Source organism: Homo sapiens, chromosome 2 (genome assembly GCF_000001405.40).
Source record: "Homo sapiens chromosome 2, GRCh38.p14 Primary Assembly".
NCBI classification, from domain to species: domain Eukaryota; kingdom Metazoa; phylum Chordata; class Mammalia; order Primates; family Hominidae; genus Homo; species Homo sapiens.
This window is the reverse complement of record NC_000002.12, coordinates 144579143-144597526: the sequence shown is the minus strand read 5'-3', so window position 1 is coordinate 144597526 and position 18384 is coordinate 144579143. Positions and strand designations below refer to the sequence as shown.

General features: G+C 38.8%; 1 long non-coding RNA gene across 1 annotated transcript in view, besides 2 other annotated features; it reads right to left on the bottom strand.

Annotated features, from left to right (window-relative positions):
* Nucleotides 13564–15492: an enhancer, noted in NCBI's record as "VISTA enhancer hs1802". NCBI's record gives its function as "enhancer in: midbrain (mesencephalon)[8/8]" and the evidence as "EXISTENCE:transgenic organism evidence [ECO:0001131][PMID:17130149]".
* Nucleotides 14277–14940: a transcriptional cis regulatory region, noted in NCBI's record as "candidate enhancer chr2.4993 targeted for multiplex CRISPR interference". NCBI's record gives its function as "positively regulates ZEB2 gene expression with high confidence in K562 cells {active_cell/tissue: K562}" and the evidence as "EXISTENCE:mutant phenotype evidence [ECO:0000015][PMID:30612741]".
* Nucleotides 18093–18384, bottom strand: part of LINC01412 (long intergenic non-protein coding RNA 1412) — a 57567-nt gene continuing 57275 nt past the window's right edge. Inside the window, exon 3 of the long non-coding RNA NR_110570.1 lies at nucleotides 18093–18318. This is a non-coding gene — a long non-coding RNA (long intergenic non-protein coding RNA 1412). The remainder of the gene's footprint in view (nucleotides 18319–18384) is intronic.

The following is an 18384-nucleotide window of genomic DNA, read 5'->3' as shown; positions in this document are numbered from 1 at the left end:
GCCGATGCACACCATCCTGCCTCCCTGTCTACATCACTAATTTGACAGCATGAAAGTGTTAATGCTAATTTTATTTTGAATTTCCTAATTAAACATTTCTTTTATCCTGGACAGAAAGATTTATCATAGATTATTAGCAAATTACTCATCTTCTACTATTAGAAATAGTTTTAATGAGACCATACCTACTGGGAGGAAATAAGCAACTCATACCCACTCCAAGCACATGCAAATTGTTGCCATGTTTTCCAACTCGCAACTTCTAGAAGTCAAGTCTATACCAAGCCTAAAAAAGAAAAGCCCGCCGAATGCAGTGATCACGACATTCACATTAACAAGCATTCTAAATTCACTGTCTTCCAGGTCAGAGTTAACATAGTAATTTCCACTCAAAGGACACTGGTCATCAAATCCAACATCCTTTTATTTTATTCAAAATAAAAGGACAAAAATGAGATATAAACACAACTTAGAAAGTCTATGAGTTCATTTAAGAAGTGCTATTTAAGCTGTAAAGGATTTCCTGTCATTCTGGTTTTAAATAATTTTATAATATTCTTTTGTTCTTGGGTTACTCTATATCCAAATAATCATGTATGTAAATGACTCAATACAACAGTAGATGCCCTGACAATGTAAACATTATTGTTTATCCAGAAGCATTATATGTTCATGCAAAAAAAAAAAGTGGCATTAAAAGCTTGTGGTCAGATCAAAAAACCACAACTGTAATTGTTTATTTATATAACTTACCATTACTCTGTAGTGTAAGTTTACATTTTTTAAAAATTTCTAAACGCTGAGTTAGTCTTAGAAGAGTGAAAAATGCATGGTTCGCCTAAATGATTAAAGACAAACAACTTAGGTCTATGCATGCAGCAAAATGCTTTAATATGGAAATTATTCATTTTGCCCAGGCTTATAGTTTTCATTTTTATGCTGCCCTTGAAACTCCATGATAACAGGGCCATTCAGTGGAATTTCTGCATTTTTCTCTTCAGTTCAGGGCAGCTGGTTTCTTTCCTCTCGAAGCAGAAAGCTAAAGTATATTTATCACTCTAACAGTGACTCAAAACAAACAGGAAGTCTTCATCAGCCGGCTCCTGGGCATAGCTGATATTAGGTACTGGCAGAAAGGAAACAGAGACCTCATTCTCTGAGAGTCCGACAGAATGTACATGCAGATGCAGGCGATAACAAAGTTAGGGATGCTCCCAATGACCACCATGTTCTCCCAGGATTAAGTGCTCTTTGCAAGGCTCGCCAGCTTTCAGAGTCTGTGAAAATTCCTCAGGAGTTTTCCTTTCCATTGCAGTGTGAAAGAGAAGTTTGAACTGGATACCACGAGCCTTACAATCCTTGTGAACCTATGCGCCAAAGGAAACCTGGGAGGGAGCTATTCTGGGAGATTTGGCTTTGATCTGGTTGCTAGGAAAAAGCCCTGCTTTTGTCTGGAAGTATTCTGAATGGCTCCTTCAGTCAGAATGAGGCCTGCAGGTCACTGTCTGAATTAAGTGAAGAGGATTTTTTTTAACACTAAAAATGAAGTTGTCGCTGTATGCCATAATAAAGCTGGAGAGAGTAGATCGTGCTGCTGAGCAATGGTAACGGCTCTTTGCTACAACCTAAACTCCAAGGTATACTGTGAAAATCACTGAAGCGTGCTTGCAGATCAAATATATGCAAATATTGCTCAGTGGCACATATGTTCCTAGAGACCTTTGCCTTCACCTCCTTTTCAAATGAAACCTGTTTCAGATTCAAAGCCCACTTTGTTTTTATTAATACAAATGTTCACTATCAAACCATTTTTTTATCCTTACTAATAGAGAGGTTATACAACTCACACCTAACTTTTTTCAGCCAAACCAAACTCCAAATGGATTGCACTGCAAACTACTGATACTAATGCAAAAGTATTAGGCAATACACTTTGGGGGGTCCTTTCAATATTTTCTTTTTTATTTGTCAGCTAATCTCTTTGTTTATGGTAATGTATGTACCTTTGTATAAGGACTTTACAGCCATTATCTAATCTTCACAGATCCTGGTGAGGTAGAAAGGGAGCAAATCTTATCTCCGTTCTACAGATGAGGAAACAGAGATGAAGGAAGGTTGAGTAACAAGCTCACATTTTAAGTGGTGCATTCTGTCCAGATGAAAAAAACAAAAAAAAAAGACAGTATGGCACGGGCTTTGTTTTTCCAGGAGTGAGGCTAGATTTTCACCTACCACCCATCTGTTCACCAGTCCCCTTAATGACCGGCATTTCCCAGTGACTGCACACTTTCCACACAATCTGTTGAGAAAACACGCAGCAAACTGACCCACATGAGGATCAAACCCTTGACCTTGGCACCACTGGCATCAGATGCTTGTGAACTGAGCCACAGACTGAAAGCCTAATTGCCCCCAAGTAGAATGGGATCAATTCCTCCCCTTCTCAATCATTCTGGAAAAGAAAAGAAGGGCTAATTGTTATGAATTTATCTAGTCTTGTTCTTCCTCAAGCTTGAAATGTATTTTACATTCCAAGCAAATCCTAAATTGTGAGATATAATATAAAAATAGCAGAGAGCTAAGAAGTAAACTACATAAATGAAAATTTAATTTTAAGAAAAAAAATAAATGAGGGGGAAGTATACAGGAGCTGGCACCTTCAGGACCACAGCATCACCGCTGGTATGAAGTGGTTCTTCACTTGTGTTTGTACCTGCAAATCTAGATGGTAAAGATGAGGAAAAGTTAACAAGGAAAGAGACTGTTTTCCAAATAATATTAAATATCCTCTTTTAAAGACAGTAGACGATTTTATTCCTTGGAAAAAGTTATAGTAAAAATATAATCAAAACCACTGGAGTATTAGGTAGATGCTACCTGTACTGATCAAGTGATAGAGGATTATCTTCCCAAAACAGGCTGTGGAAACAACTATGTGGAAGGTATGAGAACACCTTCCAGAGCTTTCAGGAGCAGGAGGAAGACAGCCTAGCCTATCTTTTGGAATGTAAATTACCCTGCAGACCACCAGGCAAAAAACTCATGAAACCCAAACCAGACATCCCTACTAAAAGATGCTCAAACTAGAAAACAGAAGTGTTTTCAGGATAACATAACTTCTCTCAGTCTACCTGTTAATTTACTCGACTTTCTTTTCAAACTCTGTATACAGTAGTAGATCTGTGAATTGCATATCCATGATCACCACAAAAATTTCCAAAATCTGTCTCAGAAACCCACAAAGCAGATTTAGGTTTTAGTATCAACTTGACAGATTCTGAGCTCTCTCAATCCAGGACTACCAGTGTGTTGAGCCCAACTCTAAATGTGGGCAGGGACCAAATTGCTTTCCCTAAATGGCAACAGGCTAACAGTACCAATTAGCCAGACTGCACAATGGTTCTTCAGAAACTGCTGAAGACCAGCTCTGAAGACCCCTCCTGAGTAGGACCCAAACCTTAAGGCTTCTGTACCCATGCTTATTCACTGCTGCCTGTGCAAATGTTCCAGAAAGCCGGGAGGACTTGGCATTAATTTCTCAGTGTGTCGCCATGGCTAGAGCTAAGCAAGGGCCAAAAATGAATTAGGTAAATATAGGATGCTTCAGGCACAAATGCAGCAGGTGAATTTATTTGCAAATTACTTTTTTTATCTTTCTCACTTAAGATTCTCTTTAGAGACATAGAAGATAGCTTTATCAATTTTAAAGTAAAGAAAAGCAATATTTGGTTTCAATATTTGGTTCATAGCCAACCATACAAAAGTACTTAATAAAAGAATCCTTTTTTAAAAGTTATTATGCATTTATTACAGGATTATTGACTCCAGTGATGAAAATTGTACTGTTAGGGTTGGGTTGACTTAAGACAGTTTTTTTTCCTGGAGATTTCTCTGTCATTTAATTGAGTCACCTTATTCCTTCTGCCTCAATACACAACTGTTCCTGTTATTTTTTGAATTAATTTGGATAAAAGCCTTCTGCAAAAGCCATCTTTCTGGATCCACAACCTCCTCTCTGAGCATTTGTTAACACATTACATTATACTAAAGTGAATCCACCCATTAGAAATTAGACAACCTATCCTGGTTTTAATATTTTTTGAAAGCTTACAAAGTGCTAATCACTAAAGCAGTGATTCCCAGCTCTGGTTTTGTGACAGCCTGGGGTATCTCCAATTACCTTACAGATCACGAAAAACAAAATTCCAAAAAAATTTCAGAAGAAAATTATACTTGTTTTAATTTGAAATATAAATATAAATATCTGCCATGGACATAGGAAGTGTGTCATAGTGCGACTTGGTGGGCTGGATCCTTGTAAGAAAACAAACAACAATAGTCTATTGAAACTCCTCGAAGCTCAAAATCATTATGCTCTCCAAAAAAAAAAAAAAAGAAAGAAAGAAAGAAATTCTATTTTATTTTTAGGAACTGAAACTCTAACATACACCTTATGACAGGCACAAAAAGGAACTAGGACAAAACCCATTCCAGGACATTTCCTGGAGGAGAATACAAATAAGGTGTGTCACATATTTTCATGAATAAAATAAACACGATAATATCTAATAACACCATTACACTATTCAGTGTGCCTAAATTACAGTTGTACTGAGAAATGAGAAAATCTCTGGAATAGGACCAGGATTGCTTTTTAATTGTCCATTAGAAAAAGCAAAAAATAAAATCGCCTGCAATGATTTCCTTTCGAGATCATTCACCTTATTTTTGAAATACAAAATCAAAAACATATTGATACGCATGGTGAGGCTGGGTAATAAACCCGAAGCAAACTGTCTCCTTTCCTCAGTTCAGGCTCAGCAGCTCCAGCAAGCCCACAGTGCCAGCTTGAGACTGGCAAGGCAACTAGCATTGCACAAAACAAAATCTTAATTTTTCAGTTCCGGCTGATTGCACTGAGAACATCTCTCTCTCCTCACCTTTTCTTTGTATTTTTTTTTTTTTCCTGAATTGAGGTCTTTCTATTTAGGGATGTGCTTCCATTATGTGAGATGTCCCCTAAGCCAATGAAAAACAATGACAATTTTATTTTCACATTAAGATTCCTCTCCCAGGGCCATATTCCATGAATGAATGGCGTGTAGGACACACCGCTAGTAATAACATCCACCAACTATGCCAACACAAGTGCAAGAGAAGCACAGGGAAGCTAAGGCTAGCCAAAGGAATTCTCCCATACCTACAGTGGCTGGCTCCTTCCAAGAAAGCTGTTGGGTCTGCTTGCTTATTGACTTGTATATTTGCCAGGAAGGTATTCCTTTTACAAAGTAAAAATAAATAGCTCCTACAACTTCTTCCTTGTCTTGAAATCACCATTTCTACTAGAAAATAAACTTGTAAACTCCATCTGTTAAGATACTCGAGAACTCTACTTATAAAACATACCAAAATTTGTTGAAGGAGCAATACTGGCTAGGAAAGGAACTGGAAACAAGGTCATTTCCCTTTCAAATTTAAAAGTCACCATGAAATACCGTAGGAAAATCAAACACATCCAGAGTGATTGCACATGTCACAAACTCAACTCATCTGACCTCCCCAGCACTTGTACGCTAGTGTTACTGTCACTGAATTGTCTGGATTCCAAAGAGCATATTGGCTGAGCTCTCACCCACCCTGCGGATTCACTAAGACCATTTTTTTCCTTTAAACCTCAGGCTTGTTTTCCCCCTGCAACACAAAAGGCTTTTAGTCCACCTACCCACCATCAATAAGCTGGTATGCAAGAAGAAAGCAACTTAGTTGACTATTGAAACAGAGTGTAGAAAAACATAGCCAATTTATTCTACAATCTCTGTCATGTATTAGATAAAATGCAAGCTTCTACCCATTCCTCAAGCCATCCTCACCCTCATTCTTTTCATTCATCTTCATCCATTTAACAGGTATTTATTGAGCACCAACTATGTTCAAAGCACTTTGCTGATCACTGAGTTTGTAGCACTGGATAAGATAAAGCAAGTCCTGAATTTCTAGGCCGAATGTCTAGAGCTGAAATTCTCCCAGAGAGAGATAGCAAGATAACAAATAATATTGTTTTAAAATAATTTCAAAAAAGTACAAGAACTATAAAGGAAATATAATTGGATAGAGGAGTAAAGATTGATTTGAAAAATAAATATAAAGACAGTGACCTGCTTCTTCACAAATGAGAGGAGAAAATACTCATGGGCACAACGCTTTAGGCTGCTAGTCCAGGGAAGGGCTCTCTAAAGCTGGGATATTTCAGCTGATTTTTTATTGGAAGAGAGGGACCAAAAAAAATTAGTAAAAATGCTCTTAGGTGACAATGAGCTTGGTGAGTCCACGGAAAAGAAAGGAGGCGGGAAGGCTGATGCATAATGAAAATGCCAAATGAGGTTAGGCTGGGAATTTGAGGGACTTGCAGGTTGGAATTTATTCCAAATGCAATGGGCAGCCTTTGGGGGAATATTAAGCAACTTGATCTGACTGAGGCTTTCAAATAGCAAAGTGTCTGCTTGCTGGGGATCTAATGAAGAATTGAAGCAGGGAAGATTCAGGCTATCTTTTAGAATGAGATGGAAAAAGGGATAAAAAAAAACCGTCATGTTTTTGAGCTGGACATTGAGAGGATGGTGGGCCATTAGCTGAGATGGAGATGACTAGGAGGAATAGAAGCCTCCTGGGATTAGAAATTCACTTATTCCACCTAATCCCTCAGAAGTCCTTGAACTCATGAAAAATGGCCTTTTTTCAGCGCTCCTCAATTTTCTTATGTTCTTGTCTCCTGTGTAAATCACAGTGTTCTGGGTTGCTTGCGTGCTTTTCAATTCCATTCCCATAAACTTCAAACCCTAGCTCAAAATCCAGTTTATTTTTTTATTTTATTTTTTTTTTTTGAGACGGAGTCTCACTCTGTCGCCCAGGCTGGACTGCAGTGGCACTATCTCGGCTTACTGCAAGCTCCGCCTCCCGGGTTCACGCCATTCTTCTGCCTCAGCCTCCTGAGCAGCTGGGACTATAGGCGCCCGCCACCAGGCCCGGCTAATTTTTTGTATTTTTAGTACAGACGGGGTTTCACTGTGTTAGCCAGGACGGTCTCGATTTCCTGAGCTCGTGATCCGCCCGCCTCGGCCTCCCAAAGTGCTGGGATTCCAGGCTTGAGCCACCGCGCCCGGCAAAATCCAGTTTATCTAAGAAGTCTGTCAATTGAAACTCTCTGCATAGTGATTGTTCTCGTTAATATCCATCTTTCAGGTTTTTTTTTATTACACATCTTTTACTCTATTTTATATTCTGCTTCTACTGAATTTAGACCAAATTCCTGCACCTCCCTCCCTTTTTCAGCCCTAACTGCCCCACCTCCCAACTGCACCCCTTGCATATATCCGGTGCCCCACTGAGGTCTGTTTACCCAGTCCTGAGCTCGGCCCCTGCACAACCAAACTGGCATTCTCTCCCAATAGCTCTACCTGCCACAAGTTCCTGTCAATCCTTTAAGACCCAGAATGAAACGTCCCCTTCTCAAGAAACCATTTATGGCCGGGCATGGTGGCTCAGGCCTGTAATCCTAGCACTTTTGGAGGTCGAGGTGGGCAGATCTCCTGAGGTCAGGAGTTCGAACCAGCCTGGTCAACATGGTGAAACCCCATCTCTACTAAAAATACAAAAAATTAGCCGGGCATGGTGGCGGGCGCCTGTAATTTCAGCTACTCAGGAGGCAGAGGCAAGAGAATCGCTTGAACCCGGGAGTCGGAGGTTGCAGTGAACCGAGATCGCGCCAGTGTACTCTAGCCTGGGCAACAAGAGCAAAACTCTGTCTAAAAAAAAAAAAAAAGAAGAAGAAGAAGAAAAGAAAAAGAAAAGAAACCATTTTTGACCGCTCCCCAATCAAACATGATTTCTCCTTCCCCACCCCCTAGGAGGCAGTGGAGTATAATGGTTGGCATCTTCAGCTGTACGGTCATACTGCCCCCATTCACATGCCCGCCACTGCCATGTGCTAGCTGTGTGCCCTCCAGCAACTTACTACAACTTATCGCTCCTGGTTGCTTCATCTGGGAAGGCCAGGTTGAAACAAGGCAGAGGAAGTAAGAGTACCTGCCTTATGAAGTCATTGTGCAAATTACGGGAGGCAACACACCTAAAATAGACCATATATCACCTGGCCCGTAAGAAGGACTCTTCAACGTTAGATGTTTTTGTCATTTTCATTTCAGCATTCTTTGGCTGTCTTGTGAAAAATAAAGTTCTTCATTCTATTGTGGTTGTCTTAAACCCATTACATTAACAGCTCTCGGAGGGCATCATGGTGCCTTCTTCATCTCTGTATTTGGTAGATATTTTGTAAATATTTATTGATGAATAAATGTCAAATCTAAAACAGCTAATTTTAAAGAGTTTTATTTCTTTTACACAAATATGTTGGTTTTCCTCAAAGTAGAAATACTATCTTTTTGTTTCTTGTTTTAAAATTCCATATTGCCCAATATGCATCTATGTAGTGTGTGTAGTGTGTGTATACCGTACATAGACACTGTGTATATGTAGTATATACTACATAGTGTATACTACATAGATACTGTGTATACTACATATACTACATACTACGGATACCCAGTATCTTTAGTATACACAGCATCTATGTAGTATATACTGTATACTATAGGGTGTATATTTTTAATTTTCTGAATTGAGTAACTCTTGAGCAATCAATACAAGCAATGCACATATCATGCTAAATTGACCAATGAAACTGCTTTTAAAGAGGGAAACTATCTCTTCATTTATCCTAAACATAAGGAATTGCAACAATAGGGCATCATTCCAGCTCACAAGAATCTTCAGGCCTCTGAAACCCAGAGTTAGGCAGGAGGTTCTTGTTAGTGACATGTGCTCTCTCATCAACATCAATTAACATTTATTGGAAAAAGCGTGGATGCGGCACACTATGCCGTGTGTTTTGCACACATTTTTTAAATATGAAGACACTATCCCTGCTTTCTTACATGTGGAGAAAAACAGAGTTCACGACCACAATAAATAATAAAAAACATACGTGTTTCTATAGGTTTATGAATAATATTGTATCTCATCATGTAAGAAATGAAACCTTCAATGAGCAGGTAGATCTTGACTGGCTTTGAGATATGACACGGACAGAACCTAGTGGAGAAATAAAGAAAAAGACTGTAGATTTGAAACTAAATCAAAGTTGATTGTAGCTTGCGTTTTGTTTTTAATTAAACGCAACACGCTAAAATAGGGAAAAAAACCAGATTAAAAGATAAACTTGGATTTTCTACATCTTTTTTTCACAAAGTATCACTTAAGCTCAAAAGGTTTTGTTATCATTTCCATTAAATATAATTTTGTTATACTCTTCGTTTCTAGGTTATCCCACACCCAAATAATTATAGATGTAAATCATACAACTCTGCCTAAAGGATATCATTTTTCTCTAGTGATGAACTGGTATCAAAACTCCAGAATAATTTGATGTAATATAATCTTTTGTCGCTCTCCTTTGTTCACTTGGGCTTTTTCTCTCTGTTTTTGCCCTTCTGACCTTCATTTCTTCCCTTCCTTCTTCTTCTCCTGAGTTGTCCAGCATTTGTGAATAATTTGGTCAACTCCTATAGCTGAGAGTCCACATCCTCAGGCCGTAGTCAGCAGCTATATTCAATTCTACAGACTGAGTTATTTAACTGCACAAGTTCTTTTCTCCAATACACACTCTTCTTTTCTCGGTTGAGTTATAACACATACTTTTTTCATCAACCTCTAAAAAAAGTAACAAAGGCTCCATTCTTACAAACCAACTCAAGAATTCAGGATAATTTTTCATGTAGCATCATCTATTAAGTGTTCAATATTTCCAAGCCACAATCTAACCGCCTATGGCATATCCTGAAATTTGATTAAAAAAAAAGAAACTTGTCCAATTCTATCTGTAAAATTCATCTTTCTTGATGTCTGATTGACAAAGTACCTCAAACACTCAAACTGAAACAAGTTGGTGATAAAACCACTGAGATAACCATTGTCTGTTCTGTTTCTTAATTTCTGCATACTTCTTTATACCTTTAGTGACCTCATGTCTAGTAGAGCCTATAGGAATTACATGTTTGAATTAAATAAATTTTTGGTTTTTGTCTTTCTGCCTTATGGATAGATTATCTGCTTAGCTACTGATATTTATTTCTCCATTACTGTTCAAATTAGCTAAGTGGCAAAGCCCATAACCTCAAAAAAAAAAAAAAAAAAAAAACTGTTTAGCTCTATTTGAAACTAAAGGATCTCTCCCAATTTTGCATCTGGTATTTGCTCTTCAACATAGTTATAAGAATATATCCACTCTTACTACCCTTGTTTCTTTTTCCTCCTCCTAAAAAAAAGTATATTAAAATTGAAGACATTTATTTTTAATTCATCAAAATTGGTCTTGGCCATTGCATTTGTTTGCCTTTTTATCTACCAAAAGCTGCAATTTGGAGAGTAATGAGGGAGAGAGGTCACTGAGAATAAAGACATTATTTGATACCAAAGTAACATTACAATAATAGGGATCTTTCCCCACATACTTCAAAACCGATTCAGAATTTAGAAAATAAAGTACAATTAGTTTTTAAAATGGAAATTTAAGTAGAAAGTTAAAAAGTTTAACTACTTTATTCTTAAATAGTAAGCTCCCACAAAGGTAGATTTTAGAGTATTTTGTTTACTACTGAATCCCCAGGCCTAGAACAGCGCCTGCCACATAGTAGGGGTTAGCTCAATAAATAAGTGTTCAATGAATAAACTACCTTACCCAAAAAAAGTTGAAACTTGTTTACCAGCTGTCAAAAGTTGGTTCCTTCATGTATAAAATAGCATCAACTGTGTAATTTGCCCCTACTTCCTCCTTTTGCAGAAAGCCAACAAAAGAACTTTAACTTTTTACCTAAGGATCAAAGGTGTCAACCTATTGGCTCATGCTCCTTTAAAGTCTTGGATAATAGTCTTCGGTTATTTTTAGATAATTTCCTTTGTTTCCAGCTTGAAAAGAAGTATTAACAGAGATCAAAAAAATAAATCACTGATTCAGAGCAGGAAAATGCATATTAAGAAGATCAAAATATAGTATGTAGAGGCTGTGAGCTAGCCTTCCCAGAACACAAGCCAAATCTTGCTTTAGATACTGAAGTATTATATTGGTCTCACTTGGGACCCATCAACATGAAAGGAATGGGGAGAACTTGGAGAGGAGAAATGCTAAATGGGAGGCAAAAATAATTTTAAAATTATAAAGTGACCCATGCAGTCTCAATACATAAAACAATAAGCCAAGAGATAGAAAAATACAACCAAATTCAAACAATAACTAACTCTAGATGGTGGAATTATAGGTAAGTTTATTCTCAACCATAATTTTCTTTATGTCCAAGTACAATATGTATGTAAGACTAGTACAGTCAGAATGAAAATAATACACACAATTTTTAAACGAAGAAAAGAGCCAAGGGTAAAAATCATATGATATATGAAGAAAACTTAAAGGATTAAGATTATAAAGCCAAAGAAGAGAAGGCTCGTGGATAATTTAACAATCTTCATTGCTTAAAACAACCATGGACCCAAAACTATAGAAAACACATAGAATGGGTTTATTTCTCATTTTTATAAATATAGATAGATAGATAGATAGATACATACATACATACATACACATAGTTACAGGAAGTAAGCCTCATAGAGAAAGGGCAAAGGGCACAAAAGCTAGGCAAAAGACAAAAGAAAAAACACCCAGATAATTAGAGTATTGCTTAAGGCAGCAACTCTCATGGTGGGATATGAAGATGGAGAACATGAAAAAGGACAAAGGGGTTTGCCTTCTCAAGAGGACATTGCAGAATCTCAGGAAGAGGTGTGTTATTAAAAGGAGACATGTTTAAAATAAAGATTATAATAGAATTCCTAGGGTACCATAATTTAGGTATACCCATGGAAGTATCCTATGTGTGAACATATATATTCTAGGGTAGAAAAATATTTGAGAATCCCTAACCCAGGGTCTTCAAGGTGAAGGACCCTGGATTGCCACAAGACAAGATGGGCAAAAGCAGTTTCTCTTGTAGGCTGGGGTAGGGTGATCAGAAATGAAAAGTCTTTTTGAAAAGAACCAAGAGACCTCAATTTAAGCTCTGTCCCACAAAGCTAACTAGAAGCTTTCCTAATGTCTATATATTTTGTTATATCCAAAATTATTTGGGAGTGTGCAAACCCCAACTCTGCAACCTCCTTGATGCATTTCACGGTCAAGAAGTTGTACTGTATACTTTTAAAAACTTCCATTTAGCTACCATTTACATTCAGTTTCTCTCTTCCGAGTTGTCACAGGGGTAATAAGCAAGAAATAAACATCATCTACATAATAAAGATGGCCACCTTCAAGTATCATGATTGTACCACAAGTAGGAATATCAAGAAATCATACTTTTACTTAGAGGAATTGCTTTACCAACAGAAATGTCAAGAATGTCAGATGCCTTGGTTAATTAAGAAGACACTTGGAGGACATGCGGTGTTTTCCAGGCTCTTCAAATCTCATTGCATAGGTGGCTATCTCCCTTTGATATCATGACAAGGACATGTGACCACATGTATCTAGAATTAGAATGGTTCAGGCCAATTCAAGCCTTCGCCCTTTCACACTGGGTCTGCACCAAGCAGATAGAAAACACATAATAAAAATCTAAATCTTACATTTAGAATAGGAACTGCTATCAAACTTTTCTCTTTTCTCAGGCAGTGCTACACCTGACAAACACAACCAAAAGAAGTATTCAACAAGAAATTCAAGTGGCTTCAATCTTCAGAAAGGAATAGTAAGGATTCACCGAGCACTTACTATGTGATGACTACTGTACTGAACATTTTACATCCTTTATTTCTCTGAGGTCCTTAGGCTATCTAGTTCTAGCTATTCTCCCTGAAGTTAAAGTTGGGCAAACTCAGAGGTCCTTGGAAATCTCTGCCGCCTCGCCCACCCCTAATAGTAACCAGAGAGGTATCTAGACTAAGACCAGGAATTACCTAGTCCTGATCACTCAAAGAGGATGAAGACTCCATGGTACAATTGGATGGGGAGAACTGAAAAATTATATTTTTATTATGGAAGGTCTGGCACCACTATCTTGCATCAGAGCAAATTCTAATGGAGTTCCAAGCCTGAATCATTCTCCTCAGGGTTGTTGACTCACCATATTTGGCTCTTTGACATATCACTTGCTCATTCTCTCTTTCTCTCAGCTTTGCTGCATACCCTCCTGAGACAGAAAGGGTGCATGAAATTGGTGAGAGGTGACAGAGATCAAAGGGCAGCATTACCCTACTTGTTCCAAGGTGTAAGCCCCGGGACTGTCCTGTTACTCTCATCTCTACCCACAATGCTTTTATTTTCTGATGCTTATGGAACCTCGACCAAAAACTTTCCACATTCCCATCCCCTCTTCTTCATTCCATTTCTCTTTCCCTATCTCATCCCCTCTACCTACATACACATTCGCACACACACACACACACCCCACTCTCATACTCACACACATCCCTTTTGCTTCAAAGGATATGGGTATCATATACTCAATAGAGTGAAAAGAAAACATTCATATCTCACCGAAGCCATATGTATGTACCTCAAGTCAGAATTTGACTTGTTTGGGAGTGGTTTCAATGTATTAGTTTCACAGTCACTAATCAATACCACACAAGAATCCATTTCAAATACCTTTCTTTTAAATGGAGCTTTGACAGCCCATGTTTAGGGCAGACACTAAAACTAGAAAGAATTCTTTCTGCATCGCTTTTGTGAATACAGGATGTTGGCAAAAGATTATTAGAGTAGCTCTTTGCTGGCAGTTTCTCTTTGTTCTCCACATCTCGGAAACCTGCTAAACTCAGCTGCACGTAAAACAAAGCAGAAGCATTTTGGTGTGGGCAGTGATGCACCCTTTGGGTAGAGGGCCACATAAGTATTGGAGAAAACACTGTTTAAAAGTCAGCATTACCTCCCAACTCGGTGATTCCTTTTCTCAAGATTGCATAATGCTACATGTTGCTCTCCTACATTCGTCTGGGCAGTAGACGCTTGACTCTCTTACTCTTCTGGCCTATTTTGAAGGGATGTGAAGGGAAAAGCTAAGGAAAGCCTCACAGGTGGGGAGCTCTAAGTTTATGAACAGCAAGAAGGCAGCCATATCCTTCTGCTTTGCCGTGAAAATCAAGCATCACCTTATCGTTTCCTCACCAAGATTAACTCCTGCTTCCTGAAGAGTATTTCTGAGGTAGAAAGCAGAGGTGGTGAAAAAAGAGGGAGCTGAAAAGTCCAATCTGTCAAGCTCCTTTTTAGAAGAAAGGAAAACTGAAAAGTGAACATATTTAACATGAGCCATTTCCTGCACTCAGGAGGGAAGAAAGCATGCTAGGAGCTCTGTGCAGGAGGAGATCCGCACTGGTGTTATCTCTGACCTGCAGCTTAGCCCCAGTGTCTCAGCTGCCAAAAAGCTCCCATTCAACGTTGTGCTGAGTTCATCAATGCTCCACGTGTCAGGATCCTAACAGGAAAAAGCAGGACAGACAGTCTCTCCATTCAACCGCCTGGGGACCCCATGACAACTAAAATCCCCTCGCAGACCGTCCATATCAACCTTCGGCAGGTCAGAGCACGCAACCCCTTCAGAACCACAGGCTCAGGCCCACACCCTTTCCCCTTGTCAACATTGTCACTTTAAACAGAACATTGAGCCTTATCACGAAACCTGAAGTAAGTATGACAATTAAGATGGATTGCAAAGCCTGCTTGTGCTTCACAATTAACAATCACTTGGCAGCAGGTTCCACGCAACTGTTGGGGGGTATGGCAAGAACTTTATCCCTGCTTAGTGCTGCATTAGCATATTTAGTAGGCTGCAAGACATAATTCCTAAGATATGAACATATTTTTGTCTTTTTTAAAAATCTGCAATTAAGCTATAATATGTAGAAACTCTGCACCAGGCAATCAATGTGCAAATACCAAGATGGAATTGGGGTAAGGAGGGCAAACAAAAGAAATGTTCCCCCAGCATTGATAACAACCTGAACCAGTGGCTGCTTGCAGAGTCACAGGTCAGCTAGAAAATTGTGGCTCTTTCCTGTTCGTGACGAAATGAGGGAGCGGGGGTCTGGTGTTGCCCCACTGCTGCTGGCATCAGGTGAAACCTCTGTAAGAGCATAGCTACCTGCTTTAAACCTGCATATTTAAAAAGCGAAATAAAATCAGCCCCTGAAGTGACCCTGGTGGTTACTTACCAAACTAGGCATTTTTCACAGAAAGCACCTTTTGATCCTCAATCTCTGAGTAATAAAAGATGTTGATAAAAATCACAAAGGCACTTTATTCTACAAATGTGAGGGCTAGTCCTCAAACTTCCCATTATTTTCCTTAGTGGTTGGCACATGTGCCACACTGATGAGAAGGACTCAGGGAGTGCAGAGCCTGGACCAACGTGACGTGCCTAAAGACAACCCAAACTGCCATTCCTAACTTCTCCAGTGTGCTTGTTGCATAGATTCAGGCCTACATTCCAAGCCTCTGTTGGGGCTGCAGAGGGAAAGAAACGCAGCCAGATCTTTCTAAGATAGCCAGGACTTTGTCTTTCTTGACATCTGGGTTGCAAGAAGGCAGGATATCCTGCCAAATATATTACAGCTGTGAGACCCACCTTGTGATTAAGACTCAGCCGAGGCTGAGGAACACAAGAGACAGAGGTGAGGCGTTTTCTGGCAAAGAAACCTCACCCTCTACAGATACCTCCTCTGTAAAAGAAAACACATACACACACACACACACACACACACACACACACACACACACACACACAAAGTTTAGGTGAGCAGCTCTCTAGTTGCATAAAAGGAAGCATGTGAAAGTAACAAATGCAATTTAGCACACAAAGTCTTTCTTTACAAAACCAGAAAAGTAGCAGATTAAAGCACCTGGCAGTCTTGGCACGCCAAAAGAAAGTCTTAGCTGTGACAAAACAAAACAGGTGTACAGGTATAAAACTTTTGCTTTCCAATAATGCCCCTCTCTTCACTGGAATGCTTTGACAGGTGCAGAAGTTCAAGTTACAGTGGGGAAGTAGCAAATAAATACACAGCATTAGCGTCTGACGTGCTTGCTGAGCACCCGGGGATGTTAATAACTGGCAAGGTACACTAATCTCTGATTGCAACATTTGGTTTACCTTAATCTGGAGGGACAGCTGTATTAAAGAGGGAATTATACTAATCAGTTCAAGGCCCTTGCATATAAAACTTCCCATTAGGCTTAAAGTACACCAGCTTATGCTCATTCTCTAGGAGCCTTACATCTGGTTCTGAATAAGGCTGCCTCTCATTTGCAAGGTACAAACTGAAAACAAGGGGGAGGGGGGCTGACAGTTGCTGGAGGATGGGTGATAGAAGAGGAAGCTACTAATTCTTTGAAATTTTTAACAGCACAAAACTAGCTTCTAGGCATCTTAATACTAAAAGAAAAAAAAAGCATGTGTTATCAACCCTAGGCCATTTTTTCCTGTTACCGGAGGTGACCAACATAAAATAAAATTGATGATGTCAGTCAAAAACAGCTAAGCACAAAGCTTGGCTTTGTTATCTTAAGTCAGAAGGTAAGATAGGCCATGCCATATGGCTCTAATCCGTCCCTATCTCCCATCACCTAACAGGAAACCTTCATGTAGCATGACCTTATTTGGCTGGTTCCAGGTTAGGGCTGCCCAAAGGGGATTTTTCTGTTTCTGCTATATCCAAAGGTTTATGTTGATTTTTTTTCTGAGCCCTGCAAACTATAAATCCGACTGATTACTCTGCACTCTTTTGCTTGACTGAGCCTTTACAATCAGACATCCCCGTTAACAATAAGCTCCTAATGAATCAAACATCTATGGCATTAGTTTCACCTAGCTGCCTCTTTCCCATGCACTGTGCTGCTTTGTCAGACCTGGTTTGATGAGAAAAGCTAGTGACACTTGCTGCACCTATTGATAAACAATTCAGTAATGAGGGGCATAACAAAAATTACCTACAACAACCTGATTAAAAATGACAGGCAAAGCTTACTCCTTGCCCTATAGTGAAGGTAACTCTGGCACTGTGGAGGGAAAATAATGAGGTAAAATGAAATTTCCTCCTTTACCACGGAGTTCATTTCTGAATGTGTGTTTACTAAGTGATGAAAATTGTTTTTAGCAATGTTTTACATTCTTTCAGGCTATGTGATTATCAATAATGTTAGGAACTCCTAGAATTCAAGATGCTTCCCTTTCAACTTTCTGAGATGAACTCCCTGCTTTTTCTACTTAAATTTTCTGAATAACCTAATATCGAGATCTTCACTTTGTTTCTCAAATGTGAGTCTAGTCATTGAGAAACTTAACAGTACAAGTAATAATAATTAGTTAAGTGTAGCATGGGGAATAAAAGAAAAATTCTAAGACACACACACATAATTTTCTGAATGAAGTAGAAAAACTTTATGGACAATATCACCTCCCTAAAAGGAATAACTTAACCTTACCATGGGCATTGAAGTTCTTTTTATTGGGGTCACCCAGAGGACCTTTGCAACCTCGAAACAAGCTTCTACCCAGGGGAGGCCAGGCTCTCATGAAAGCTTGATTCAAAGACAGAAATGTGTGGGTTCTGCAATTGTGTAGCAGCATGTTGGGAGGGTTTCCATCCGTGCACAGATGCACTTGAAAATCAAATATGGACATGAGGAATGTTTTTTGGAGATGGAAAATGAGTGCTGATGACATGTTTATACTTCACAGATGGATCCAGTACAGAACCATTTTTTGTAAAGAAACAATATCCACCATTTGCTAATTTTTTTTTTTGAGGAGCTACAAAATGGTGGCACAAAAAGTGAATATTCCCATCGTACATACTCCACCTGTTCCTTCGTCTTACAACCGTCTTCCATCCTGAATGTAATCATTGACTGTTGTAGTCTTATTTTTTTCTCAAATGTTATCCAAAAGGATGTGAAAAAAGAAATACAATACACAAAGGCACTTGGAAGAGCGAAATGATTTGAAATGAATTTACTACATATGAAAAATTGGAATATGACAAATGCTATTAAGTAACAAATGCCGAATTTAATCTTGAAAAATGCATTTTCTTACTGGCATATTTTCTCCTTGTATCTGATATCAAATCAATTTCTGAATGTCTTCTGTCAAGAGTTTTGCATGCCTTCTTTATTCCTTTGGCCCACCATTTGCCAAATACCACTCTTAGGTGTTGGAAACTCTGGAAAATGCAAACACTTCAAGTTAGATTAATTCTATTTATTGGCTTATTGTTGATACATTATAG